The following is a 27,705-nucleotide window of genomic DNA, read 5'->3' as shown; positions in this document are numbered from 1 at the left end:
CTATGATGGCACTGGTGAACAGCCACTACATTCCACCCGGGGCAACATAGCAAGACCCTATCTCCAAAAATGCAGCCCCCGAAAAAACAAAAAACACCTAAAAATTAAATACTGTAATACCAGCATTTTGGGAGGCCAAGGTGGGAAGATTGCCCAAGGCCAGGAGCTTGAGACAGTCTGGGCAACACAGCAAGATCCCATCTCTCTATCTCTCTCTCTATATATATATATAAATATAGATATAGATATATATAGATACATAAATAATGAGAGTATCACACACATTAAGTAAGACCAGTGGAAGCTCCAGTGCATCAGAGCACATATGTGTGTGTGTGTGTGTGTGTGTGTGTGTGTATACGTATGTGTATTAAATAAATAAAAATAAAATTTTGTTTTGTTTTTTGAGACGGAATCTTGCTCTATCACCCAGGCTGGAGTGTAGTGGCGCCATCTCGGCTCACTGCAACCTCTGCTTCCCGGGTTCAAGCGATTCTCCTATCTCAGCTTCCTGAGTAGCTGGGATTACAGGCGCGAGCCACCACACCCAGCTAACTTTTGTATTTTTAGTAGAGATGGGGTTTCATCATGCTGTAGTGAGCTGGTCTTGAACCCCTGGCCTCAAGAGATCCACCCGCCTTGGCCTCCCAAAGTGCTTGGATTACAGGTGTGAGCCACCGCGCCCAGCTAAAAATAAAAATTGTTTAAATATCTATCACTGAAGCAATTTCATCCAGCCAGTGTGTGTTATTTGGAATTTCTCTGGCTGTCTTTGTGTCCTCTAGCCAAAAAAAAAAAAAAAAAAAAAAAAAAAAAAATCATCTCATTCAATAAGCCCATTTATTAAATTCCATCAATATGTCATCTCCTCTTCTAGGTACTATGTCACCCAGCCTGGGTGACAGCATGAGACTCCATCTCAAACAAAAAAGTTTAAGTAAGCTCCCAGCTGAGACCTAAAGTATGAGAAGGGACCAGTGGGGAAAGAATTGCAGGGAAGAGCATCCAGGCAAAGGGAACAGCTTATGCAAACACACAGATTCCAGGGGAAAAGAACTAGGGGACAGTGAAATTGGAGGAGGTGAGGCAGCACCAGGTCATGGTGAACCTCAGAGCTATTTGGGGGGTGTCGATTTTGGTGCAAATGCAATAGGAAGCCCTTGGGGAAAGGGGCGGTTTAAGAAGGAGAATGAGATGGGGCCTGATTTACATTTTCTGCAAGTTATTCTGGCTGTTGGGGGTAGAGAGGAGGCAGGGAGGCGGGAAGGAGGCTGTGCTGGCCTCCAGGGCCAAGCTGGTGATGGCTTGACACAGGGGTGGCAACGAGAACAGAGGGAAGTGGGGTAGGGATTTATTTTGGAGGTAGAATTGAAGAGTCTTGGTGGTGGCCCGGGTGTGGGTGGTGAGGGTGAGATGATCCAAAGATGCCTCCCTGTTTTCTGGCCGGAGCCACCAGGTAGATGATGATGGTGCCATTTCCCGAGACGGGGAAGTCACAGGAGGGGCAGGCTGGGGAAGGAACCAAGAGTTGACTTTTGGACGCATTATGTTCAAGCTGTTATTTGTCCTGCCTGGCTAATGACTGACAGAGCTCTGTGGGCCTCATTGAGATAATGCTTATAAAGGTTTCATGCCAAAGCTACTGAAAAGCAAGTGTGAAATTTGTTTTTATTATTATTTAGTATTGCCTGATCTCCTACCCAAGCCCACCATAAAGGTCTGATTATGAAATCCACAAGCCAGAGGTCCCCACCACCTTCTTGTCTTTTGCTGCCTCCCTGCCACCCATCCCACAGCAACCTTAACAAAGCTCTGATGGTGGGATTCCAGGCATCGTCAACCAATGGCAAGGGAGGGGGCGCTGAGTTACCCCATATTGGCGCCTGGCAGCCTCTGGGGGCTGTGGGGTGGGCAGGGCTGGCCTCCTCTGGTGACTGGGGAGGGAGCTGGCAGAAGGCCGGGGAAGGGGGACAATGGGCCTTTGTCTTTGCCGAGGTTTCTCCATCCAAGATGCTCTAGCTCCTAGAAAAACATGACCTCATTCGTCCTCCAGGCTCCAGGACCCAGGGCAGAGACAGGCTTGGAGTTGGATGCACCCACCGCATTTCACAGACTGGAAAACCAAGTCACACAAGGAAAGAAGACAAGAGGACACCAAGGCTCCAGCCCTAAGACCCAGCCAGAAGTCATGCCCTCCCGGGTTGCTGAGCCCAGGGAGGGGACTCACAAGAGGGTCTTCTAGGCAGCAAAGGTCTAGCTAGCCCGCAAGCTCCTGGGACAGGCAGGTTGCACTTGGATCTGCTACTCACAGCTGTGTGGCTCTAAGCAGATTACTCACCTACTCTGCGCCCTGGTTTCTGCATCTGATGCAAGACTGGCAGCCTCTTTCTTGCAAGGTTAGAGTGCCCCTGGAGATCGCTGCTAAGAATTCAGAAAGGCCTGCTTCCCGCCATGGCATCTGCGCCCACTGCTCTGCCTAAGAGGTGATCTTCCAGGGAAGAAAGTGGGGATTAAGGCCCATCCCACGCAAGCCTCCAGGGTCCACAAATGTCCCTCTCTTGCCAGGGGCTCTGCAGTGACAAGGCCTGGCAGGAGTCTGGCATATCTTTCTGGTAGCTTCCTAAGTGACGTTCTCCCACACTGGCCCTGCTGGGCTTTCACCCCCGGCCCACAATAGCCCTCACTTCCTATGCCAATCCCCCCCTCTCCAGAGGGTCTTCTCCAACCTGGTCTCCATCTCCACAACCATCTGGGGACACCCCTGCACCTGAAACCTCAGCAATTCAAGTTGCAAGATGCCAGCTGGAGGGACTCCCGGCCATTCTCTCAGTCTCATGTCTAAAATAGGATAGTGGGGCTGGGCATGGTGGCTCACGGCTGTAATCCCAACGCTTTCGGAGGCTGAGGTAGAAGGATGGCTAGAGGCCAGGAGTTCGAGATCAGCCTGGGCAACATAGCCAGACCCCATTTCTAAAAACAAAAAAATTAAACAATTAGCCGGGCATGGTGGTGTATGGTCCCAGCTACTCGGTAGGCTGAGGCAGGAGGATTACTTGAGTCCAGGAGTTCAAGGTTGCAGTGAGCTATATTTGCACCACTGTACTCCAGCTTGGGTGACAGAGCAAAACCCTGTCTCTAAAAATAAGTAAAATGGGGCCAGGCGCGGTGGCTGACACCTGTAATCCTAGCAATTTGGGAGGCCAAGGCCGGTAGATCACCTGAGGTCAGAAGTTCGAGACCAGCCTTCCCAACATGGTGAAACCCTGTCTCTACTAAAAATACAAAAATCAGCCAGGCGTGGTGGCATGTGCCTATAATTCCAGCTACTAGGGAGGCTGATGCAGGAGAATCACTTGAACCCGGGAGGTAGAGGTTGCAGTGAGCCGAGATTGCACCATTGCACTCCAGCCTGGGCGACAGAGCAAGACTCCATCTCAAACATAAATAAATAAACAAATAAATAAATAAGTAAAATGGGATAATGGAACTTCTTGGGGACGTGGGAGCATTCGGTGAGAGGAGACTCCAGGGACCTGCACAGGGCTGGACACAGAGTAGATGCTTATGAAATGACAGGCTTATTAATACCAATTTTTCATCCCTTTCAAAGGTCATTCAGAACAACCTCCCAAGTCACTTACAGAAAGTAAAACCAGAGAGGGTTAGTTGTCAGTCGTCGTCACACAGCCTGTCAGTGTCAGGGCTCGGTGCAGACCCGGCCTCTGCATGCTGCCTTGGGGGTTCTCAGGCCGGGCCATGATCCTCAGCCCAGGGACCAGGTGAGGGAGGAGGGTGAGTGAGGCTGGAGATGGCCCAGGCTCTGGACTTTCCCTTGGCCCCATCTTCCACCGAGGCTGCATTCCCAGTGAGATAAACAAGGGATCAGCGGGAACAAAATGGATGAAGTAACGGGGAAGATATGAGTGGCTGTGCACAGCCCCCAGCCCACCCCACCTGCCTGCCCACCAACAGGGACTGCTTCAGGAGAGGCATGGCCGGCCCCTGAGTCTCAGCCCGTGCCAGGCACTAAGGGTGCTCAGCACTGGCCAAGCCCTTCCTGATCCCCGGGCTCAGGTGGCAAACCTCCTGTGGTGCCCTTGGACCCTCTCTGGGCCCTGTCCCTATGCTCCACCCTCCCTGGGCTGGGATTATTTCAAATCCCCTCCACCAGAGCCTTGGAGGAGACAATTGCATGCTCCCAAATGCAAATTCAGAGCCCCAGGGCTGTCTGGAGTGGACATATGATTTCCCACCCTGGCTCAACTGGTCTGGGGTTCAGCCTGTGTCTCTGGGGCACCTGCAGTGCCTTGCTGCCTGAGGCCAGCTCCCTACTGTGGTGGAGAGGCTGTGTCTGCCCAAGGCTTCCCCAACCCCAGTGCCAGCTCCCTGCCCCTGCAAATTTCTGCCCATCCTGACCTCTCCAAGGAGCCCTGGAACTCAGGGGACCATCTCCAGGGCCGGATGGGAGGCTGGCACTGCTGCCAAAGCCTGGACGCCCACCCAGCTGGACACTAACCTGGGTACCTTCCCTTGCTGAGACATAGATAAAGAGCAAGGGTGTTGGCCAGACAGGGCTCCACCCGCCGGCTGTGAGCAGCCAGGACCTGCAGCCTTGGGCCAGGGACCCCAGAGGCTCAACATCTGCCCCTACTTGCCTCAGAAGGAGGCAAGAAACGAGCCCTCTCCCTGCCAGGAAACATCACTGGAGTGCCCACCAATACCCTGAGCTGGGAGCCTGGCACAGAGGGGGTGTGCGGTGGGCACCCTAGGGCCCGCCTGGCTCACTTCGGCCTCAGTTGCCCTCAGCAAACAGTCCCCAAACTGCACCAGGCCCTGACTAGGCTAAGAGGGGGCTGTCTCTCTTCCCTCCCAGGTTTTTTGCAACCAACAGAGCTGGGATGGTGGAGCCCCAGGCCCTGGAATCTGCATTTTGGGACTCCTCGGGTGATATGAAGGCAGGTGGTCTCTAAGCACAACTGGAGAGACTCCACTGTGGTCCCTTCCCCATTTCCCCGTCCCCTCCCCGGCTTCAGAGGGCCCTGTCCCTACCTGCAGAGGAGGCTCCTTCATCCCAGCTTCCCGGGTACTCCGGTCCCCACTTTGCCGGCTGACATTCTGCCCCCCACGCCCCAGGCATCCTGTTATGACCATGGAGAACCACATAGGTTTCCCCAGCACACAACCACCTTCCCTCTTCAATAGCTGCTTCCTCTGTCGGAAATGCTTGTTCCGTGGTCTTTCCACCCAAAATATTCCCACTCAGCCTCGCAGGCCAGCTCCTATGTCACCTCCAAGAAGCCTTCCTTGACCTCCACCTGGTCCGTGCAGTCCCTCCGTTCTAACATCTCTTCTACTAGTGCTCATCACACCGGAATGAAATCGCCTTTCCTCTGGCTAGGAGCTTGTCAAGAACTGAGACCGTGTCTGAACCTCCCATACTGAGCCAGCCAAGGGCTGCTGGCTGAGCAGGACAGGCCAAGGGACCAGGCCACCCCCCAAGCTACAACAACACACTTGCCCAGACTAAGATGTCTCAGGGAACGTCACCTTTGGAGTGTGGGGGAAAGGGACCGACATTTGCCGAAGTCCTACGATGTTCTAGATTCTCTTGTACCCTTTCTTCAAAGGAGAAGACTGAGTCCCAGGGAAGGGAACTGACTCGCCCAGGGTCACTCAGCTCAGAGGTGGTGAGGTTGGCCTGGGAACCCCTGTGATCATTTCCAAACCTTGCTGACCCCATGGGACCACAGTTTCTAGCTCATCCCATCCCCCAGCAGGACACACTGCTTGAAGTTAAGAAAAATTCTAGGCCAGGTGCAGTGGCTCACGTCTGTCATCCCAGTACTTTGGGAAGCCAAGGTGAGAAGATCGCTTGAGTACAGGAGTTTGAAATCAGCTTGGGCAACATAGGGAGACCCCACCTCTACAAAAAAAAAAAAATTAGCACGGCATAGTGGTGTGCACCTGTAGTCCCAGCTACTAGGGAGGCTGAGGTGAGAGGATTGCTTGAGCCTGGGAGGTTGAGGTTGCAGTTAGCCGAGATTGCACCACTACACTCCAGTCTGGGTGACACAGTGAGATTCTAGTTAAAAAAAAAAACAAGAATTCTGAGAACAAGGACTTGCCCAGAGCCGAGGCCCAGAGCCAGGGGCCTGACTCTAGACAGTGGAACCAAGAAGCCGGCACTCGGGACATACATGGTCCCTGTCTGTGTGGCATACAGTGGATGCACATGGCGAGACTCGCCAGCTCATGAGCGCAGGAACCCTGCCCCTCTGGCCTAGAAGCCACCTGCCGTGGGGGCCACGGGCTCCTGAAGCTGCTCCCCCAAGAGTCACCAGGCAGGGTCTGGATCGCAGAGTTGACACTAAACACATGCTCGTGCAGTAGACAGGCGTGGGAGGCACCCCGAAGAGGTCAGTACTGTTTTGAACAGAGCGGGGATGAGGTGACCCCTGACTCCCTGACAGGAAGCTACTTAAGCGGCAGCCGCCGGCGCACCGGAGACACCCAATCTGTCAGCACTGGCTGCGTGATGGGCCGGCCTCCAGAGGGGAGCCAGATGGGCCCAAAGCCCTGGCTCAGGGGGAGGCGGGGGCTGCAGTTGCCATCTGTAGGGAGCCACTCTCTATTTTAATTTAAATTTAAGAGACACGGTCTCGTTCTGTTGCCCGGGCTGCAGTGTAGTGGCACAATCATGGCTCACTGCAGCCTCAACCTCCTGGGCTCAAGGAGTTTGAGGCTAATCCTCCCACCTCAGCCTCCTGAGTAGCTGGGACTACAGGGGCACTCCACTACCCTTGACTAATTAAAAAAAAAAAAACAAAAAACTTCTGTAGAGATGAGGTCTTGCTATATTGTCCAGGCTGGTCTTGAACTCCTGACCTCAAGTAATCTGCCCGCCTCGGCCTCCCAAAGTGCTGGGATTACAGGTGTCAGTCACTGCGCCTGGCCCAAAGTAATTTTAAGAGTTGCCTGTGTTCACTGTTTACACATTTCACTTACTACTTTCCTCCTTCATGTCCTCCAACCTGGTTTCTGTCACCCCATTCCACCAAAACTCTTCAGGTTCACCGATGACCTTTCTGTGGATCAATCTTGTGAACTCTTTTCACTCCTTATTTTACTCAAAACTGCTGCAGCATTTCATGTTAGCTTTTTTTTTTTTTTTTTTCTTTTTGAGACGAAGTCTCACTGTCACCCAGGCTCGAGTGCAGTAGCACAATCTTGGCTCACTGCAACCTCCACCTCCCGGGTTCAAGCAATTCTCCCACCTCAGCTTCCCAAGTAGCTGGGACTACAGGTGCACACCACCATGCCTGGCTAATTTTTGTAGTTTTAGTAGAGATGAGGTTTCACATTGTTGCCCAGGCTGGTTTTGAAGTCCTGCCCTTAGGTGATCCACTCACCTTGGCCTCCCAAAGTGCTGGGATTACAGGCGTGAGCCACCATGCCCAGCGATTCACACTAGTTTTATTTATTTTTATTTTTTTATTTTTATTTATTTATTATTATACTTTAAGTTTTAGGGTATATGTGCACAATGTGCAGGTTAGTTACATATGTATACATGTGCCATGCTGGTGCGCTGCACCCACTAACTTGTCATCTAGCATTAGGTATATCTCCCAATGCTATCCCTCCCCCCTCCCCCACACTAGTTTTATTTTTTTGTGAGAAGGAGTTTTGCTCTGTCGCCAGGCTGGAGTGCAGTGGCGTGATCTCAGCTCACTTCAACCTCCACCTCCCAGGTTCAAGTGATTCTCCTGCCTCAGCCTCCCAAGTGGCTGGGATTACAGGCGCCCACCACCACGCCCAGCCAATTATGGTATTTTCAGTAGAGACCAGTGCTGAGACCAGCATGGTTGGGGAGACCCTAACCCAGCGGCACTATAGGAATTAAAGACACACACACAAAAATATAGAGGCGTGAAGTGGGAAATCAGGGATCTCACAGCCTTCAGAGCTGAGAGCCCCAAACAGAGATTTACCCACATATTTATTAACAGCAAACCAGTCATTAGCATTGTTTCTAGAGATATTCAACTAACTAAAAGTATCCCTTATGGGAAACGAAGGGATGGGCTGAATTAAAGGAATAGGTTGGGTTAGTTAACTGCAGCAGGAACACGCCCTTAAGACACAGAGCGCTCATGTTATTATTTGTGGCTTAAGAATGCCTTTAAGCGGTTTTCCGCCCTGGGCGGGCCAGGTGTTTCTTGCCCTCATTCCCGTAAATCCACAACTTTCCAGCTTGGGCGTTAGGGCCATTATGAACATACACACCTGCACACACATGCCTGCACACGCACACCTGCACATGCATGCCTGCAAACACACACCTTGCACATGCACACCTGCACACACATGCCTGTACACACGTCTGTACATACACACCTGCAGATGCACACCTACACACACATGCCTGCACACGCACACCTACACACATACACCTGCACACACATGCGTGCACACACGGCTGTACATACACACCTGCACACACGTGCCTGCACACTTACACCTGCACACACACGCCTACACACTCAAACTCTTCCTGGCGCCAGATTTTGCCACAGGGAGGAACAAGGAGCAGGGTTCTCTAGAATGATCCCTCCCTCCATCCTGTCTCTTGAAGATCAGTTGATTTGTGGGGTCAGGTTCTCCTGACCCATTGGGAAGCCTCCCTGCCTGTCTCTACCTTCCAGCACAGTTCAGGAGATCCATGGGGTTGATGTCAGCTCCTCAGACACCCTCAGCTGGCATGGGACAGGTAGAAGTTTCTCAGGGTCTGGAGCAGCCAAATGAGGGGAACAGGGAGAGAGGATTATCCAGCCTGATCACCCCAGTCTCACTGCAGCCTCAACTTCCCAGATCCTTTCACCTCAGCCTCCCAAGTAGCTGGAACCACAGGTGTGTAACACCACACCCAGCTAATTTTTGTATTTTAGGTAGAGATGGGGTTTCGCTATGTTGCACAGGCTGGTCTTGAACTCAATTTTTTTTTTTTTTTTTTGAGACGGAGTCTCGCTCTGTCACCCAGGCAGGAGTGCAGTGGTACGATCTTGGCTCACTGCAAACTGCCCCTCCCGGGTTCATGCCATTCTCCTGCCTCAGCCTCCTGAGTAGCTGGGACTACAGGTGTCTGCCACCGTGCCCGGCTAATTTTTTTATACTTTTTAGTAGAGACGGGGTTTCACCGTGGTCTCAATCTCCTGACCTCGTGATCCACCCGCCTCGGCCTCCCAAAGTGCTGAGATTACAGGCGTGGGCCACCACGCCCAGCTGGTCTTGAACTTGAGCTCAAGTGATCCACCTGCCTTAACCTCCCAAAGTGCTGGGATTACCAGCATGAGCCACTGTGCCCAGTCAGTTTGGCAGTGTTTTCTTAAGAATTTTTTAACCAATGTTCATAAGTAATATTGGTCAGTTGTTTTCATGTAGTGCCTTTGTCTGGCCCTAGCATCAAGGCAATGCTGGCCTCATAGAATGAGTTAGAAAGTATTTCCTCCTCTTCAAGTTTTTGAAAGAGTTTGCAAAGGACTGGCATTAATTTTCGTTAAATGTCTGGTAGAATTGACTGGTAAAACCATCCAGTCAGGGGTATTTCTTTGTTGAAAGGATTTTAATTAGTAATTTAATGTTCTTACTAGTTATAGGTTTACCCCTACTTTCTTTTTTTTTGAGAAGACTCGCTCTTGGCCCCCAGGCTGGAGTGCAATGCAGTGCACTCCAAAAGTGCTGGGATTACAGCTGGGAGCCACCATGCCCAGCTGGTTTGCCGATATTTTTTCTTTATTTGTGATTCAGTCTTGGTAGGCTTTGTGTTTCTAGAGATTTGCCATTTCATTTGGTTATTCAATTTGCTAGTGTACCTATGTTTATAGTATTATCTTATAATCACTTTAATTGCTGTAAAGTCACAGTAACGCCCTCATTTTTTTTTTTTTTTTTTTGAGATGGAGTCTCACTTTGTCACCCAGGCTGGAGTGCAGTGGCACGATCTCGGCTGACTGCAAGCTCAGCCTCCTGGGTTTACGCCATTCTCCTGCCTCAGCCTCCTGAGTAGCTGGGACTACAGGTGCCCGCCACTGCGCCTGGCTAATTTTTTTGTATTTTTTAGTAGAGACGGGGTTTCACTGTGGTCTCGATCTCCTGACCTCATGATCCACCCGCCTTGGCCTCCCAAAGTGCTGGGGTTACAGGCATGGGCCACCACGCCCAGCTGGTCTTGAACTTGAGCTCAAGTGATCCACCTGCCTTAATCTCCCAAAGTGCTGGGATTACCAGCATGAGCCACTGTGCCCAACCAGTTTGGCACTGTTTTCCTAAGAATTTTTTAACCAATGTTCATAAGCAATATTGGTCAGTTGTTTTCTTGTAGTGTCTTTGTCTGACCCTAGCATCAAGGCAATGCTGGCCTCATAGAATGAGTTAGAAAGTATTTCCTCCTCTTCAAGTTTTTGAAAGAGTTTGCAAAGGATTGGCATTAATTTTCGTTAAATGTCTGGTAGAACTGACTGGTAAAACCATCCAGTCAGGGGTATTTCTTTGTTGAAAGGATTTTAATTAGTAATTTAATGTTCTTACTAGTTATAGGTTTACCCCTACTTTCTATTTTTTTGAGAAGTCTCGCTCTTGTCCCCCAGGCTGGAGTGCAATGGAGTGCACTCCGAAAGTGCTGGGATTACAGGCGGGAGCCACCATGCCCAGCTGGTTTACCCATATTTTTTCTTTGTTTGTGATTCAGTCTTGGTAGGCTTTGTGTTTCTAGAGATTTGCCATTTCATTTGGTTATTCAATTTGCTGGTGTACCTATGTTTGTGGTATTATCTTATAATCACTTTAATTGCTGTAAAATCACAGTAATGTGCTCATTTTCTTTTTTCTTTCTTTTTTTTTTTTTTGAGATGGAGTCTCGCTTTGTCACCCAGGCTGGAGTGTAGTGGCACAATCTTGGCTGACTGCAAGCTCAGCCTCACGGGTTTACACCATTCTCCTGCCTCAGCCTCCTGAGTAGCTAGGACTACAGGCGCCCGCCACCACACCCGGCTGATTTTTTTCTATTTTTAGTAGAGATGGGGTTTCACCGTGTTAGCCAGGATGGTCTCGATCTCCTGACCTCGTGATCCGCCGGCCTTGGCCTCCCAAAGTGCTGGGATTACAGGCGTGAGCCACTGTGCCCAGCTTAATGCCCTCATTTTCATTTCTGATTTTGGATATTTGAGTCTTCTTTTTTTTTTTCTTAGTCAATCTAGCTAAAAATTTGTCAATTTTGCTGACCTGTAAAAAAACTTTTAATTTTATCTATTCTCTTCTTTTCCTTTTCTTTATTTATTTCCACTCTAATCTTTGTTTCCCCTATTCTGCTAGCTTGGGTTTAGTTCTTCTTTTTGTAGGTCCTTTAAAGTGTATAGTTAGGTGACTGATTTGAGATCTTTCTTTTATTTTTTATTTTTATTTATTTATTTTTTTTGAGATGGAGTCTCACTCTGTCGTGCAGGCTGGTATGCAGTGGTGCAATCTCGGCTCACTGCAGCCTCAACTTCCTGGTTCCAGTGATCCTCCCACCTCAGCCTCCCAAGTAGCTGGAACCACAGGAGGGTAACACCACAACCAGCTGATTTTTGTATTTTAGGTAGAGGTGGGGTTTCACTACGTTCCCCAGGCTGGTCTTGAACTCTTGAACTCAAGTGATCCACCTGCCTTGGCCTCCCAAAGTGCTGGGATTACCCGCCTGAGCCACTGCGGCCAGCCAGTTGGGCAGTGTTTTCTTTTTTTTCTTTTTTCTTTTTTTTTTTTTGAGATGGAGTCTCACTCTGTTGCCCAGGCTGGAGCGCAGTGGCGCAATGTCGGCTCACAGCCACCTCCGCCTCCCGTGTTCAAGCGATTCCCCTGCCACAGCCTCCCAAGCAGCTGGGGTTACAGGCACCCACCACCATGCCTAGCTAATTTTCTTTATTTTTAGTAGAGACAGAGTTTCACCATCTTGACCAGGCTGGTCTCAAACTCCTGACCTTGTGATCCACCCACCTTGGCCTCCCAAAGTGCTGGGATTACAGGCGTGAGCCACCACACCCAGCAGGCAGTGTCTTCTTGAGAATTTTTTAATCAATGTTCATAAGCAATATTGGTCAGTTGTTTTCTTGTACTGTCTTTGTCTGGCCCTAGTAACAAGGCAATGCTGTCCTCATAGAATGAGTTAGTGTTTCCTTCTCGGCCGGGCACCGGGTGGCTCATGCCTGTAATCCCAGCATTTTGGAAGGCCAAGGCAGGCGGATCATGAGGTCAGGAGATAGAGATCATCCTGGCTAACACAGTGAAACCCCGTCTCCGCTAAAAATACAAAAAATTAGCCGGGCGTTGTGGTGGGCGCCTGTAGTCCCAGCTACTCGGGAGGCTGAGGCAGGAGAATGGCGTGAACCCGGGAGCCAGAGCTTGCAGTGAGCCAAGATCGCGCCACTGCACTCTAGCGTGGGCGACAGAGCGAGACTCTGTCTCAAAACAAACAAAAAAAAGAAAGTATTTCCTCCTCTTCAAGTTTTTGAAAGAGTTTGCAAAGGATTGGCACTAATTTTTCCTTTAAATGTCTGGTAGAATTCACTGGTGGAGCCATCCAGTCAAGGGTATTTCTGTGTTGGGAAGATTTTATTGGTAATTTAATCTTCTTACTAGTTATACGTTTACCCATATTTTCTTTTTCTTTTTTTTTTTTTTTTTTGGAGACGAAGTCTCACTCTTGTCCCCCAGGCTGGAGCACAATGGTGCGATCTCAGCTCACTGCAACTTCCGCCTCCCAGTTCAAGTGATTCTCCTGCCTCAGCCTCCTGAGTTGCTGTGATTACAGGCGCCTGCCACCACACCCAGCTCATTTTTGTATTTTTAGTAGAGAAGGGGTTTCACCATGTTGGCCAGGCTGGTCTTGAACTCCTGATCTCAGGTGATCCGCCTACCTTGGCCTCCCAAAGTGCTGGGATTACAGGCACGAGCCACTGCACCTGGTTGGTTTACCCATATTTTTTATTTCTTTGTGATTCAGTCTTGGTAGGTTTGTGTTTCTAGAGATTTGCCATTTCATTTGGTTATTCAATTTGCTGGTGTACATATGTTTATAGTATTCTCTTACGATAACCTTAATTGTTGTAAAGTCACAGTAACGGCCTCATTTTCATTTCTGATTTTGGATATTTGAGTCTTCTTGTGTTTCTTAGTCAATCTAGCTAAAAATTTGTCAATTTTGCTGAACTGTAAAAAAAACTTTTAATTTTATCTATTCTCTTAATTTCCTTTATTTATTTCCACTCTAATCTTTGTTTCTGGTATTCTGCTAGGTTGGGGTTAGCTCTTCTTTTTCTAGATCCTTTAGAGGGTATAGTGAGGTGACTAATTTGAGATCTTTCTTACTTTTATTTTTTATTTTTATTGATTTTTTTTGAGATAGAGTCTCACTCTGTCACCCAGGCTGGAATGCAGTGGTGCTATCTCGGCTCACTGCAACCTCCCTCTCCCAGGTTCAAGCGATTCTCCTGCCCCAGCCTCCCAAGTAGCTGGGATTACAGGCCTGCATCACCATGCCTGGCTAATTTTTGTATTTTTAGTAGCGATGGGCTTTTGCCATGTTGGTTAGACTGGTCTTGAACTCCTGACCTCAGGGGATCCTCCCGCTTCAGCCTCCCAAAATACTGGGATGTTGGCATGAGCCACCACTGCTGGCTTTCTTATTTTTAAAGGTAGATGCTTACAGCTAAACATTTCCCTCTGAACGCTGCTTTAACTTCATCCCATAAGTTCTGGTATGTTGTGTTTTCATTTTCATTCATCTCAAAGTGTTTTCTAATTTCCTGTATGATTTCATCTCCAACCAGTGATCAAGAGTGTGTTTATTTTCCATATATTTGTGAGTTTTCAAGTTTTCCTTGTTACTGATTTCTAGTTTCATTCCATCGTGATTAGAAAATACTTAGTATTTTGCATACTTTCAAACTTTTAAAACATTAATATTTGTTTTGCAGCCTAATACACTGTATACTCTGGACAATATCCCACACGCTCTTGAAAAGAATGTGTATTTTGCTGTTGTTGGGTTGGTGTCTGCATATGACCATTAGATCTAATTGGATTATCATGTTGTTCAAGTGCTCTCTTTCCTATTGATCTGGTCTCTGTATTATTAACATTGAGGTAGTGAGGTCTCCAATGATCATCCTGAAACTCTATTTCTCCCTTTAATTCTATCCTTTTTTACTTCATATGTTTTGATGCTCTGTTGTTAGGCACATATGTTTTAAATTATTATATTTTCTTGTTGGATTAAACTTTTTATCAGTATAGAATTCCCTTGTCTCTCATAACCATTCTTGGCTTAAAACCTATTGTGCCTAACATGTGGCCACTCCTGGTCTCATTTGGTTACTTTTTTTTTTTTTTTTTTTTTGAGATGCAGTTTCACTCTTGTTGCCCAGGCTGGAGTGCAATGGCGTGATCTTGACTCCCCACAACCTCTGTCTCTCGGGTTCAAGCAATTCTCCTGCCTCAGCCTCCTGAGTAACTGGGATTACAAGCAGGTGCCATCACAGCCGGCTAATTTTTCTGTTTTTAGTAGAGACACGGTTTCACCATGTTGCTCAGGCTGGTCTCAAACTCCTGACCACATGATCCGACCGCCTCGGCCTCCCAAAGTGCTGGGATTACAGGCATGAGCCACCACGCCCAGCCAGAGAGACCCATTTTAACCACACAGGGACCCAGCTAAAAACCCTTCCCTGGTTCTGTCACCATCAGATTAAAGCCTAAGCTTCTAGATCTCTGTCCTGCACTTTTTCACTTTAATAACGACCCTCCAGGCTCAGTAGCTGATGCCTGTAATTTCAGCACATTGGGAGACTTGAGGCGGGAGGATTGCTTGAGTCCAGGAGTTTGAGACCAGCCTGGGCAACACACCAAGACTCCATCTTTACAAAATATTTAAAAATCAGCTGGGTGTGGTGGCACGCATCTGCAGTCTCAGCAACTTGGGAGGCTGAGGTGGGAGGATCCCTTGAGCACAGGCAGTTGAGACTTCAGTGACTCGTGATCGTGTCACTGTACTCCAGCCTGGGTGACAAAGTGAGACCCTCTCTCTCAATAAATAAATAAATAAGCACCTCCTTGTAGTTACTGGCCTCCTCTCCTTTGATTCCCCTCATTCCACCCTGTTAGTCTGAATGTTACTCATTCTTCAAGACACATGCAGAAAGTATTCCCCGATCCCTTCCAGGCTCCACGCCCGACAGCACGGCCTAAATGCCCGACTCCCTCCTCGGTGCTCCATCTTAGCTCACACTCCTTACCACACTGTTTTGAAAGTATCTTGACTGTCCCTTCTCCTCAACTGGCTAACTTCTAGAGAGTAGAAACATGACTGCTTGGAAGGTCATTAAAAATTCAAATCCTGAACATTTCTTAATCCTGCAGATATGAATCAGTAACTCTTAAAAGCAAAATGTTATTTATCATTAAATATTAACAATATAATCACATTTTCTTGCATCTCTGGCAAGTTTCTTGGTACAACAATTTTAAGGAACGGACTCTTTAACAGCAGTTAAAGCTGCGCGATAGCTGACGCCTATAATCCCAGCACTCTGGGAGGCCGAGGCGGGAGGATCGCTTAAGGCCAGGAGTTTGACACCTGCATGGGTAACATTGTGAGATCCCATCTCAAAAAATATAATAAAGAAAAACAAAGCAGTTCTAGGTTTAGGGGGGGAAAGTAGCTCTCCAAGCCAAAAACCAACTCCCAAGGTGCTCCGGTAAACTCGTCCTGGGAAAATTTCCTATTTAATCTCAAAGGCAAAACGAGTCCACGGGCGCCCACGACACATTTCCCAACCGCAAGGACTGGTCACCCGCGCTGAGACACCGCCAGCTGCCTATGACCTAGCCTCCAAAGCGGCAGAGTCCCTCCCTCTCTCTCCCTAAACTGCCGTGATGGACATCTCTCGGCTCTCCTCCCAGACGGTTCGGAAGTAGGGACTTCTGCTCCTAACCCCAGCCCTGCAGCCTCGCCCTCAGCCACGGGGTGGAAGTCAGGACCACAGGCTTCAAATCCCCTCCCAACTCCGGGACGCTTCTGTCCCCCCAGGGCGACGGGGGATCAAGTCCCGGCGCCCCTGTCGCGGCCAAGAGCTGTGGTCTGGGTCCGAGCGTCCCAGCTAGGCGCGTTCCAGAGAGGTCATGGGAGGGGCCCCGCGCGACCACAAATGTTGCTTCGGAGCCAGCGTCCTGGACGGGGAAGTGAGAGCCGGGACGAGGGGAGCCGCCGAAGAGGGAGGCGGCCGGGAAATGCTCCGCGTCAGGCCTTCAAGGGCTTGTCCGGGCGCTGGAGATGCCGGCAACGAGCACGTTAGACGGAGAAGCCGCGCACTGTGAGGATTAAGGGAGCCGAGGGCGGCCTGGAACTGGGAAGGCGGAGCTGACGGGGCTGGAATGTGGGACGAAGGACAGCGGGAGGCACCGACGCGCAACTGCCCCAGCCGCGCGGAGGGCACGGACCGACCGCCCCGCCGCCCACGGCCCGAGACGCCCGGCCGCCCCGCTCCCGTAGCTGAGAGCCGCGACGCTCTTACACCAGTCCGTCCGTTCCGTACCTCGCCCGCGGCTTCGCCGACATCCACACAGCCGCTCGCCCGCGTGGCTGCAGTAGGTCTGGTCTCCGTTGTCCGCTCCCGCCCCACACACACCCTCCTGCTAGCCCCGCCCCCGGCGCGGCCTGCGCACGCACGATACGCAAGCCGTGCAAACGTCACTTCCGGGGCCTTTGGCTCTTCACCGGAGGAAATGTGAGCCGGATCCAAAGGGTCGAGGGGACTGGGGTGCCCCCGTGACGTCTAAGAGCAAATAGAAGAGGGCGGCCTCCAGGCTAAAGCTAGGGCACTGGGGAGCCCCGGAGAAGCCTGCCTTTCCTAGTCTGTGGCTCAGTCCCTGCTTCCGGCTTCCGGCGCGCAGCAGCGGGAGAGCGACGCTGGCCCCCTGGCGATCCTGGCGCTGCGACCGCGGTGGTAGCGCGAATGGGAGGTGGAGCGGAGCCACTGCGCCGAGGGACGCTTCAAAAACTCTTTGAGTTTCAGCCCTTCGCGGATCCGAGGATGTGACAGTTGTTCGAGTTAAAGGGTCTTAAGGCGATCGGTTGATCCAAAAGCAGCTGAATCTTTAGAAGACCCACGCAGGAGGATTCCTTGAGGCCAGGAGTTCGAGACCAGCCTGGGCCACAAAGCAAGATCACTGTCTCTACAAAAGAAATTTTACTTGCTGGGCGCGGTGGCTCACGCCTGTAATCTCAGCACTCTGGAAGGCCGAGGCGGGCGGATCACGAGGTCAGGAAATCGAGACCATCCTGGCTAACACAGGGACCCCGTCTTTTCTAAAAAATACAAAAAATTAGCTGGGCGTGGTGGCGGGCGCCGGTAGTCCCAGCTACTCGGGAGGCTGAAGCAGGAGAATGGCGTGAACCTGGGACGCGGAGCTTGCAGTGAGCCCAGATCGCACCACTGCACTCCAGCCTGGGCGACAGAGCGAGACTCTGTTTAAAATAAACAAACAAATTTTACAAATCACCCAGGCATGATGGCGCGCACCTGTGGTCCCAGCTACTGGGGAGGCTGCGGTGGAAGGATCGCTTGATAGCCCAGGAAGTTGAGGCTGCAGAGATCCCTCCACTAAACTCCAGCTCCGGTGACAGAGCAGAGCGAGACCCTGCCCTCCCCTCCCCCCACAAAAAGCATAACCGAGACCCAGAAGTGCAATAAATTAGCCAGTGTCACAAAGTATTAATGGTTGAGTCACAAATTGAATCCTGTTGACGTGATTCCCATGTAAGGAATGTGAAAAACAGTACCTAAATACTGACTGCTCTGCGTCCTGGATGCCATCTATGGCGTAAGGTGCAGTCACAGCAAGAAAAAAAAGAAAATACTATGCTGTGGCTGTGAGATAGGCCTGGGTTGGAATCCCAGCTTTGCTAATTATCGCTGCTGTGTTTTTGGACAGGTTGCCTAATTTTTGTCTTTTTTTGGTGGGGGAGTCTCGCTTTGTGGCCCATACTAGAGTGCAGTGGTGCGATCTCGGATCATTGCCTCCTAGGTTGAAGGGATTCTCCCACCTCAGCCTCCCAAGTAGCTGGAATTGCAGGCGCCCACCACCACGCCCAGCTAATTTTCTTGTATTTTTAATCGAGACAGGGTTTCACCGTGATGGCCAGGCTGGTTTCGAATTCTGACCTCAACTGATCCGCCCCCCTTGGCGTCCCAAAGTGTTAGGATTACAGGTGCCCGCCACCACGCCTGGCTAATTTTTGTATTTTTAGTAGAGACGGGGTTTCACCGTGTTAGCCAGGATGGTCTCGATCTCCTGACCTTGTGATCCGCCCGCCTCGGCCTCCCAAAGTGGTGGGATTACAGGCGTGAGCCACTGCGCCCCGCCAATTTTGTATTTTTAGTACAGACGGGGTTCCTCCATGTTGTCAGGCTGGTCTCAAACTCCTGACCTCAGGTGATCCACCTGTCTCAGCATCCCAGGCATGAGCCACCAAGCCCAGCCTCATTTGGTTACTTTTTGCATGGAATTTATTTTTTCATTCTTTTGTTTTCAATCTCTTTGTTTCTTTGTATCTAAAGTGAGTCTCTTATAGACAGTATATGGATGGATCATGTTGTATTTTATTTTACTTATTTTTTTTACATTTCCCAAGGCTCTGTCATCCACCTTTTCATTAAATCATTCTACCAATCTCTCCTGGGCTCAGGTGATCCTACCACCTCAACTGCCTGAGTAGCTTGGACTGCAGGCACATGCCACCGCTCATGGCCTATATTCTTCTTCTCTTTTTTTTTGGGTGGGGGGGTGGTGCTTAAACAACAGAAATTTATTTCTCTTGGTTATGGAGTCTAGAAATCCAAGTTAAGGGCTGGGCGCAGTGGCTCACACCCGTAATCTCAGCACCTTGGAAGGCCAAGGCAGATGGATCACCTGAGGTCAGGAGTTCCAGACTGGCCTGGCCAACATGGCAAAACCCCGTCTCTACAAAAAATACAAAACTCAGGCATGAAAAACCAAAAGAAATCCAAAATCAGATCACAGAATTGGCAGGTTTGGTTTCTCCTGAGGCCTCTCTCCTTGGCTTATAAATGGTCACCTTTTCACTGTGTCCTCACATGGCCTTTTCTCTGTGAACATGCATTCTTGGTGTCTGTGTGTGTGTCCAAATTTCCTCTTTTTATAAAGTCACCAGTCGAATTGGACTAGGGCCCACCCTAATGGCATCATCTTAACTCACCTCTTTAGAGACCCTATTCCTAAATACAGTCACATTCTGAGGTATTGGAGTTAGGACTTCAACATATAAATTTGGTGGGGATCACAATTAAGCCTATAACATAATCATAGTTACTTAAAAAATAAATAACATGGTGATATAGAATAAGCAGGCAGGAGCGAGGGTTTGGGAGCCTAGGGAGAACCTGGTAAGATGGCACCAAGTTGACACCATAAGGGACTGTGAGGGTGAAGCCACCTGGGAAGGAAGAAGAGAAGGAAGATGCCAGACAGTCCTGGAGGTTAGGCAGGACTTAAATGACTTTGAGACTGGTCACTCATCCAAATATGAAAACTCTCGGGACTCAGAAAATGATAGGACTAAGCAAAAATCCAGCACCAGGGCGGGTGGCTCATGCCTGTAATCCCAGCACTTTGGGAGGCCGAGGTGGATGGATCACCTGAGGTCAGGAGTTCGAGACCAGCTCTGGCCAAATGGTGAAACCCCATCTCTACTAAAAATACAAAAATTAGCTGGGCATGGTAGTGCACACCTGTAATCCCAGCTATTCAGGAGGCTGAGAGAGGAGAATCGCTTGAACACGGGAGGCAGAGGTTGCGGTGAGCTGAGATTGCGCCATTGCACTCCAGCCTGGGTGACAAGAGTGAAACTCCCATCTCAAAAAAATAAAAAGGCAGCACGAGTGCAAATGTTTTGGCTTCTTCTTGTGTAGCTCATCTCATATCTCCCAGTTAGAAACTTTCCTTGTAATGTAGAATCCCTATTGCTGGGATATAAACCTGTATCCTCCTGTTCTGTCCCCAGGGAAGAGATGTCACAAGTCTGTTCATTCATTAGAGTACTATTATTTATCTTTTCTGTAGACTTATTTTCCGCAAGTTGTTTTGGCTTCTTTTCTGTAACTGGATCTGGGTAACCTGACAGTGCAGAACCAGGCCCTGGGCTTCAGCACAGGGACATGCCGAGGCTCGGGACACAGACACGTCCCCACTCTGCTACCCACTAGCCTAGGGACTCAACTGGGCTAGTTAGTCGGCTTTCTCAAACTCTTCATCTGGAAAACAATGTTAGATTCTGGTTAAATTTAGCTCTGAATATGATCATATCTATTTAAGCATTATTATTATTATTATTATTTTTTTTTTTTGGAGATGGAGTCTTGCTGTATCACCAGGCTGGAATGCAGTTGTGCAGGCTCTGCCTCCTGGGTTCAAGCGATTCTCCTGCGTCAGCCTCCCGAGTAGCTGGGATTACAGGCATGTGCCACCATGCCCGGCTAATTTTTGTATTTTTAGTAAAGATGGAGTTTCACCATGTTGGCCAGGCTGCTCTTGAACTCCTGACCTCTTGATCCGCCCACCTCAGCCTCCCAAAGTGCTGGGATTACAGGCCGGAGCCACCGCGCCTGACCTATTTAATCATTTCTAAGGTTTTCTAAAAATCAAGCCCTCTGTATTACTTCTCTCAAGCTTTGGAGCCTAAACTAGAAGAAATAAAAGTCTGATTTCTGCCTCTTATTTTTCTTTACATTCTATTTCAGCTCATGATGCTTGTTCATTTTTTGGACAGTTAAATAGCAGCTTGGACTCAAGTTCACTATAAAGTTCACAATTACTCCTCGGCCATTTCTAGCCAACAGTGGTGTGGTCCAGCCATTCCCTTCCTCATTTTGGTCACCCACTGACCTCCAGGTTGCTCCTCAAATCCAATAGTTTGTGGGCACTTGGCACATAGTGGGTCTCCATGCTGGACATCCATGACAATGGCCCATTTGATTTTGTTTTGTTTTGTTTTGTTTGTTTTTTGAGACAAAGTCTAGCTCTGTTGCCCAGGTTAGAGTGCAGTGGCGTGATCTCGGCTCACTGCAACCTCCACCCCCTGGGTTCAAGCAATTCTCCTGCCTCAGTCTCCTAAGTAGCTGGGATTACAGGTACACACCATCACGCCCAGCTAACAATGGCCCATTTGATATTCTCACCTTCTGGGTTCTAACTGCCACCTCCCCTCATAGAGTTAGATAGAGTTGATCCCATCCAAAATCCAGTCTTGTAGAATCCGCATCTGATGACCATCATCTCACTCCCTCAACACCCTTGTGTCATAAGCTTGCTTTCAGACCCTATCAGGCTTTGGACCTGTACACCTTTCCCAGTTGCTGAGTCCAGAAACTGGCCCGTCTTATTTCTTCTTTACTTCATCCAGGTCCCATCATTCCAACCACACTCCTGCAGGTTAGCCCCATCCTTTGATGCTCACTGCTTGAGCACTGCCTCTACTCGTCATCTTGCCAGGACCCCCCAGCTATCTGGCTTTCTCGCTCTCTCATGCTGATCGCTGAGCCTTGTGAGACAAATGAAAAGCTGATCTGATCTGAGTTACTACAACTCATCAGAGCTGGTTTTCTCACTTCATCCAGGTCCTCAGTGCTGCTTGGCAGTTACTCTGTTTGTCCTCATGCAGTTTCCTCTCTCTCACTCCCACAATGGCTAGCCCAAAATGTCACCAGTTTACTCCAGCCCCTTTCTTGACCTGCCTATTTCTTTATAGTTATCTTTATTTGCTGATCCCTCACTTCTCTAATTAAAGGTATAAGTTATTCAAATTACTCTGTGATTTCTATCTCCTAATACAAATGATCCTAAATACAATACAGGCCAGATGACCCAAGGAGACAATGACCAATGACGGTGTAGACTTTTTTTTTTTTGAGACTGGGTCTCACTCTGTTGCCCAGGCTGGAGTGCAGTGGCCTTATTACAACTCACTGCAGCCTCGACCTCCTGGGCACAGGCAATCCTCCCACCTCAGCCTCCTGAGTAGCTGGGACTACAGGCATGTACCACCACACCCAGCCAATTATTATTATTATTATTATTTCTTGAAGAGACAGGATTTCGCCATGTTGCTCAGGCTGGTCTGGAACTCCTGTGCTCAAGCAATCTGCCCACCTCAGCCTTCCAAAGTGCTAGGATTACAAGTGTGAGCCCCTGCACCCACCCCAATGTGTAGGCTGGTCTTACATGTCAGATACAAGGTTCCAAGAATGCCATGTTATTTTGAATGGGTGACACGTGAATGCACATGGGATGCATTTGGGCAGAGCAACAGCGCCTCAGCTCATCTTCCTCTCTTGGGTGGGACATCAGGAATAGTCCCCGCTGGTGTCCACTTTGGGAAGCTCTGGGATTCAGCTGGCCTCTGCTGCACATGGGTACCTAACTGCAACTTGCAGTGGCTCTTCTCAGTTAGGCATAAGAGCTGGAATTTCTGTTAATCTCTCAATATTTGCATGTGTAATGAAGTGTATTCTGAAGCCAAAATATTTGAAAAAGAATGGCCCCCCCTTATTGTGTGGGTCAAAATCTCAGGTTCACCTTGGCTGCTCCAGGCTACTGTGGATAGATATCCCTGAAGGGGTTCTTTCAAAAGGTACCTCTAGATCTTGAAACTGTTAATTATATTGCAACTGTCACACCTACAAGGATTGCTGGCCTCAGTCAACCCCTCATCATGGAGCTGTAGAAACAAGGGAGAGGCTGCCCCTGCTCATGGCCCTCTCTATAGCCTTACTGAGGGGTTCAAGTGTGTCTTGGGTAAGGCAGAATAGGAGAAAAGCTATAACAGGGTTTTCAGCTATTGGAATTCTGGATCCTTTGCCAGGGATCGGGTAAAACCATGTCCTAAAAAGACAGAATGATTAGGTAAAAAACAGGGTCACAAATGGCCAGTACTGCTTACAAACCCCAGAAATCCTGGGACACGGTGAGAGCCTTCCACTCTGGAAACATCACTTGATACCTTGGTTGGACTGTCTGGAAATTCTACCTTTGGATCTCAATCTACAAATCTGGGTTGTCCCAGGGGTGTTGTTGCCATAAAAGGGTCAGAATTGCCATGCAAACAGAGAACAGTGCTGACAGGTGTTCAAAATCAAGACGTAAACCCCATCTCAATGGAATCCTCTAGCCCATGAAGTGTTGGAATACTCCTGCAGGCAACTGGACAGGGGATTTCTTCTCATTGTTCTGTCTCTCTGGACCAATGGGAGTTTCCAAATACAGCCGCCTTTGAAGAATAAAATTAGATAATTGGGTGGAATATCCCCTGAATATGTCTGGAAGCAATTACATTCTGCCTTGACTCCTGGGAGTGCTGAGTAAATAATGCCACCCTCATTTCATCTAATAGCGATGTGGTCAGCTCATTAGTTAAGTTCATATTTTTGTTAAGAAACTCATGGTGAACTCGGTTTCCAAGCAAAATATTTATTTATTTTACTTTTTATTTTAGAGACAGGGTCTTGTTCTGTCACTGAGGCTGGACTGCAGTAGTGCAATCACGGCTCATTGCAACCTCAACCTCATGGGCTCAAGTGAACCTCCCACCTCAGGCTCCCAAGTATCTGGGACTGCAGGTGCACACCACCCTGCCTGGCTTATGTTTTTGAATTTTGTTTTTTTGGACATAGGATCTTGCTATGTCACCCAGGCTGGTCCTGGACTCCTGGCCTCAGGCAATCCTCTTGCCTCTGCCTCTCAAAGTGCTATAGGATTACAGGTGTGAACCACCATGCCTGGCCAGGCAAAATAGATTCTTCCTTTCTGGTGCAGAAGATGAAACTAGTGTGATGAAACTAGTGTGTCTGCTCAGTGTGATCCTGCAGGCATCCTCTGCAGCTGTTGTGGAGGTAGATACAGAGTTTCCAGGATGTGTATCCACCTTACCTTAACTTAGGTGGATACAGAGCCTGCAGGATCCTATGCTGCTGCTATGAAGACTGAAAATGCTCTCCAGTTCCTAGCAGGCCAGATGTAAAAGCTGACTTGGAAAGCAAGAGACATCAGTGCTGAGAGCACCTACCTGCCTGAGAACAAGAAGCAGACAGTCCTGGGTATGGCATCACTGTCATGGTTGGCTAACAGGTACCAGATAAGGCATGGCCAGAAGTGGCCAACTAGCTTTTAAATATCAAAGACAGGACAGTTACAAACAGAGGGGAGAGGTGGAGGAGGACATGGTGAGAGGGACAGTAAACACCTGCAACGTGTGCACACACGGGTGGGCCCTTGGGGCAGTCAGCTGAGGTACAGTTGGTGATGAAGATGCTATGTTGAGAAACTGGATACCCAAGGCATTTATAAAAGTTCACAAAGACTGTAGGGACTTAAGCCTACTCATGATACCACCCTGACCTCTTTACAAAAATACTGGAGATACAAAGATTTCTTCAACTGGACTCTGAACCTGTAAGTTTCTTTTAATGAGGGTCAAGCTCCAAGTTTTGTGTTGCTATGTGATTCTATTTCTTGATTTTAATAATGACTGAGAAAAGTATGGATACCTCCATTCCAAAAATCTACTGGGGCTGGGCCATCTGCCAGGATCATATGATACGGGGAAGAAATGAGGGTCTGTATTACATTAAGAGAATCCTGGCCAAGTGCGATGGGTCACGCCTGTAATCCCAGCACTTTGGGAGGCTGAGGTGGGTGGATCACAAGGTCAGGAGTTCAAGACTAGCCTGGCCAAGATGGTGAAACTCCATCTCTACTAAAAATACAAAAATTATCCGGGTGTGGTAGCGAGCACCTGTAATCCCAGCTACTTGGGAGGCTGAGGCAGGGAATTGCTTGAACCCGGGATGCGGGGGTTGCAGTCAGCTGAGACTGCACCACTGCATTCTAGCCTGGGCAGCAGAATGAGACTCCGTCTCAAAAAAAAAAAAAAAAAAAAAAAAAGAGAATCCTCAGAAGTCATGGTTTGTTGAGGTGTGAATAAGGTTGACATAGAGGCCAGAGGTGGCTAGAAAAGGTACATCATAATCTGATGACAGGCCCCTGTTACGGAGTATTTCTGGATGGTTCATGGTTCAGTCTTTCCCACAGTTGACTGGATCTTCTCCTGGTGTACAACAGCTCTGTGTCCACCTGGTGTCAAGTGGTTGGAGAAGGGGGATACCTAGGATTTCCAGATCATGTCATTCCTCAGGAAAAACAAGTGTGTGAGAGAAGAAGTCCTTTGCAGTCCAGGAATTGAACTGCCCTCTTCCTAAGGCTGCTCTGTTTATTATTTCATGTGTGTGTGTGTGTGTGGTGTGGTGGAGGGTCAGGGGTACACTTTGGAAGAAGACATAAAATTCTGTCCTTTGAATATACCTAGATAATGAACATCTATGAATTTTATAGTAATACTGTCACTCTTACTTTGCATTTAGATTTTAGAAGCAGGTATTCATCTGAGAAAAAATGAGGTACCTAAGTTCACAGCTAATAAGATCACTGTAGACATGACTGGGGAAGGGAAAAGAAAAGCACCTAACTATTCTTTCTCAAAACAAAAACTACTAGGCTCGGTGTGGTGGTGGCTCATGCCTGTACTCCCAGCACTTTGGGAGGCCAAGGCGGGTACATCACCTGAGGTCAGGAGTTTGAGACCAGTCTGGCCAATATGGTGAAACCCCATCTCTACTAAAAATACAAAAATTAGCCAGGCTTGGTGGCGCGTCTGTAATCCCAGCTACTTGGGAGGCTGACGAAGGAGGATTGCTTGAACCCAGCTGGTGGAGGATGTAGTGAGCTGAGATTGCACCACTACACTGCAGCCTGGGCAACAGAGCAAGACTGTCTCAAAAAAAAAAAAAAGAAAGAAAGAAAGAAAGTTTAAAATTATGTTTAAAAAACAGAGAAATTAAGCTAAAGTACATGATAGGAAAAACAATGTGGTAAGGAATTAAAAGAAAGCTAAAGGTAAGTAAATAAAAGCTAAGGGAACAGGCTATAAGTTCAACAAACCAAAATTAAGTAGTGAAGAGGTCATCTACACAAGAATGAAGACGGGACACTTGGCAGTATAGAGATCTAAGTCCAAGGGCCATGAGTCCCAAGCCAGGCACATGGCATCCCCTGAACTACACTAAGGAGTCTCCCATTCTGTTATGCTTTTGATGTTGGAAGTAGGCTATCCAGCTTGTCTATGCAGGGATACCTGCAAGGCTTCAGGAGTGTCATTAACTCAGGTGGTTCCAGATCATCCCACCCTTGGGGTCTAGCCAAGGAGCCATGACTCACCTACTCTGTCATACTCCATACATCATCCTGTGAACAGGGCCTCCTTCACCTAGCGGATATGTGTCCCTCACTAAGAAGGTCAGTAAATCGGGAGCCCCATCTACCCCCTTAACACAGGGGCTACATAAGGACTACACATTTGATATGGTTTGGCTCTGTGTCCCCACCCAAATCTCATGTTGAACTGTAATCCCCACTTGTCAGGGGAGGGACCTGGAGGGAGGTGATTGGATCATGGAGGTAGATTTCCCCTATGCTGTTCTTGTGATAGTGAGTTTTCACGAGCTCTGATGGTTTAAAAGTGTAGCATTTCCCCACTCTTTTTTTATTTTTGTGGGATGGAGTCTCACTCTGTTTCCAGGCTGGAGTGCAGTGGCATGATCTCGGCTTATTGCAACCTCTGCCTCCTGAGTTCAAGTGATTCTCCTGCCTCAGCCTCCCGAGTAGCTGGGACTACAGGTGCACGCCACCATGCCCAGCTAATTTTTTTGTATTTTGTTTTTTAATAGAGATGGGGTTTCACCATGTTGGCCAGGATGGTCTCAATCTCTTGACCTCGTGATCTGCCTGCCTCGGCCTCCCAAAGTGCTGGGATTATACAGGCATGAGCCACCATGCCTGGCCTCCCCATTCTCTCTCTCTCCTGCCTCCATATAAGATGTGCCTTGCTTCTGAACTTCGCCTTCTGCCATGATTATAAGTTTCCTGAGGCCTCCCAGGGATGTGAACTGTGGGTCAATTAAACCTCTTTTCTTTATAAATTAACCGGTCTCAGGTAGTTCTTTACAGCAGTGTGAAAATGGACTAATACAACATCTATGGGAGATTTTTTTTTTCCTTTTTTCCTAAAATCCTTTCCTGAAGTATGAAGACTTTCTAATACTTGTCCTAGATATGTGCTTTCAAATCTTCACAGGTCAGGTAGAGTGAAGCCCTAAACCTCAGGAGGAGGATACGAGCTGTCAAGAGGAAGGGAGGATCATGCTGTTGAACACCTCTGAGGATTTCAGAAAGGGGCTCTGGGTTTGAATCCTGACTCTTCCACTTACTAGCTCTGCACTCTTGGGGAAACTACATACTTCTATGAGCTTCAGTTTCCAGCCTGTATTATTAGTGTACTATAACTATGTGACTGTACTCAGTAATTAGTCAGGGAATACATTTGGCACAGATGATACAGTGCTTTTGTTTAAAAGCCAGAATAATCAGAGGTTTAAGGGAAGCAGTTGGAGGGTATGAAGCTACTCAGAGCCTCAGAACTCACCTTTCTGCGTTAATCCATGATGTGACTCCAGGGGGCATCTTGATGAGGACACTCATTAGCCAGGA

At 48.6% G+C, this 27,705-nt stretch overlaps 1 protein-coding gene and 1 long non-coding RNA gene across 9 annotated transcripts in view, besides 8 other annotated features; both read right to left on the bottom strand.

Moving 5' to 3' along the window:
- Nucleotides 1-16,685, bottom strand: part of RABGEF1 (RAB guanine nucleotide exchange factor 1) — a 156,898-nt gene extending 140,213 nt beyond the window's left edge. For all 8 annotated transcript variants that reach the window (NM_001367727.1, NM_001367725.1, NM_001367726.1 and 5 more), the window contains exon 1: nucleotides 16,626-16,685. The gene's annotated coding sequence lies outside the window, so the exon portion shown is untranslated. The remainder of the gene's footprint in view (nucleotides 1-16,625) is intronic.
- On the bottom strand, nucleotides 1,650-16,733 carry LOC100996437 (uncharacterized). Its single transcript, NR_110037.1, has 4 exons — nucleotides 16,626-16,733; nucleotides 3,642-3,854; nucleotides 2,339-2,488; nucleotides 1,650-2,022 (listed from the first exon to the last, which is right to left on the bottom strand). It is a non-coding gene; the product is annotated as an uncharacterized LOC100996437 (long non-coding RNA).
- Nucleotides 3,676-4,415: an enhancer, noted in NCBI's record as "H3K4me1 hESC enhancer chr7:66131824-66132563 (GRCh37/hg19 assembly coordinates)". NCBI's record gives its function as "activates a minimal SCP1, AML or CMV promoter by ChIP-STARR-seq in naive H9 embryonic stem cells {active_cell/tissue: H9 hESC(naive)}" and the evidence as "EXISTENCE:reporter gene assay evidence [ECO:0000049][PMID:30033119]".
- Nucleotides 4,416-5,156: an enhancer, noted in NCBI's record as "H3K4me1 hESC enhancer chr7:66131083-66131823 (GRCh37/hg19 assembly coordinates)". NCBI's record gives its function as "activates a minimal SCP1, AML or CMV promoter by ChIP-STARR-seq in naive H9 embryonic stem cells {active_cell/tissue: H9 hESC(naive)}" and the evidence as "EXISTENCE:reporter gene assay evidence [ECO:0000049][PMID:30033119]".
- Nucleotides 8,063-8,263: a silencer, noted in NCBI's record as "peak6548 fragment used in MPRA reporter construct". NCBI's record gives its function as "represses an SCP1 promoter by STARR-seq MPRAs in K562 erythroleukemia cells {active_cell/tissue: K562}" and the evidence as "EXISTENCE:reporter gene assay evidence [ECO:0000049][PMID:32103011]".
- Nucleotides 15,635-16,240: an enhancer, noted in NCBI's record as "H3K27ac hESC enhancer chr7:66119999-66120604 (GRCh37/hg19 assembly coordinates)". NCBI's record gives its function as "activates a minimal SCP1, AML or CMV promoter by ChIP-STARR-seq in primed H9 embryonic stem cells {active_cell/tissue: H9 hESC(primed)}" and the evidence as "EXISTENCE:reporter gene assay evidence [ECO:0000049][PMID:30033119]".
- Nucleotides 16,241-16,846: an enhancer, noted in NCBI's record as "H3K27ac hESC enhancer chr7:66119393-66119998 (GRCh37/hg19 assembly coordinates)". NCBI's record gives its function as "activates a minimal SCP1, AML or CMV promoter by ChIP-STARR-seq in naive and primed H9 embryonic stem cells {active_cell/tissue: H9 hESC(naive and primed)}" and the evidence as "EXISTENCE:reporter gene assay evidence [ECO:0000049][PMID:30033119]".
- Nucleotides 16,375-16,624: a silencer, noted in NCBI's record as "silent region_18212". NCBI's record gives its function as "represses an Ori minimal core promoter by ATAC-STARR-seq in GM12878 lymphoblastoid cells {active_cell/tissue: GM12878}" and the evidence as "EXISTENCE:reporter gene assay evidence [ECO:0000049][PMID:35858748]".
- Nucleotides 16,635-16,704: a silencer, noted in NCBI's record as "silent region_18211". NCBI's record gives its function as "represses an Ori minimal core promoter by ATAC-STARR-seq in GM12878 lymphoblastoid cells {active_cell/tissue: GM12878}" and the evidence as "EXISTENCE:reporter gene assay evidence [ECO:0000049][PMID:35858748]".
- Nucleotides 16,847-17,452: an enhancer, noted in NCBI's record as "H3K27ac-H3K4me1 hESC enhancer chr7:66118787-66119392 (GRCh37/hg19 assembly coordinates)". NCBI's record gives its function as "activates a minimal SCP1, AML or CMV promoter by ChIP-STARR-seq in naive H9 embryonic stem cells {active_cell/tissue: H9 hESC(naive)}" and the evidence as "EXISTENCE:reporter gene assay evidence [ECO:0000049][PMID:30033119]".

The sequence above is a fragment of the Homo sapiens genome, chromosome 7, assembly GCF_000001405.40.
Source record: "Homo sapiens chromosome 7, GRCh38.p14 Primary Assembly".
Classification (NCBI taxonomy): Eukaryota; Metazoa; Chordata; class Mammalia; order Primates; family Hominidae; genus Homo; species Homo sapiens.
Note: the sequence above shows the minus strand (reverse complement) of the source record. Positions and strands in the feature narration are given on the sequence as shown.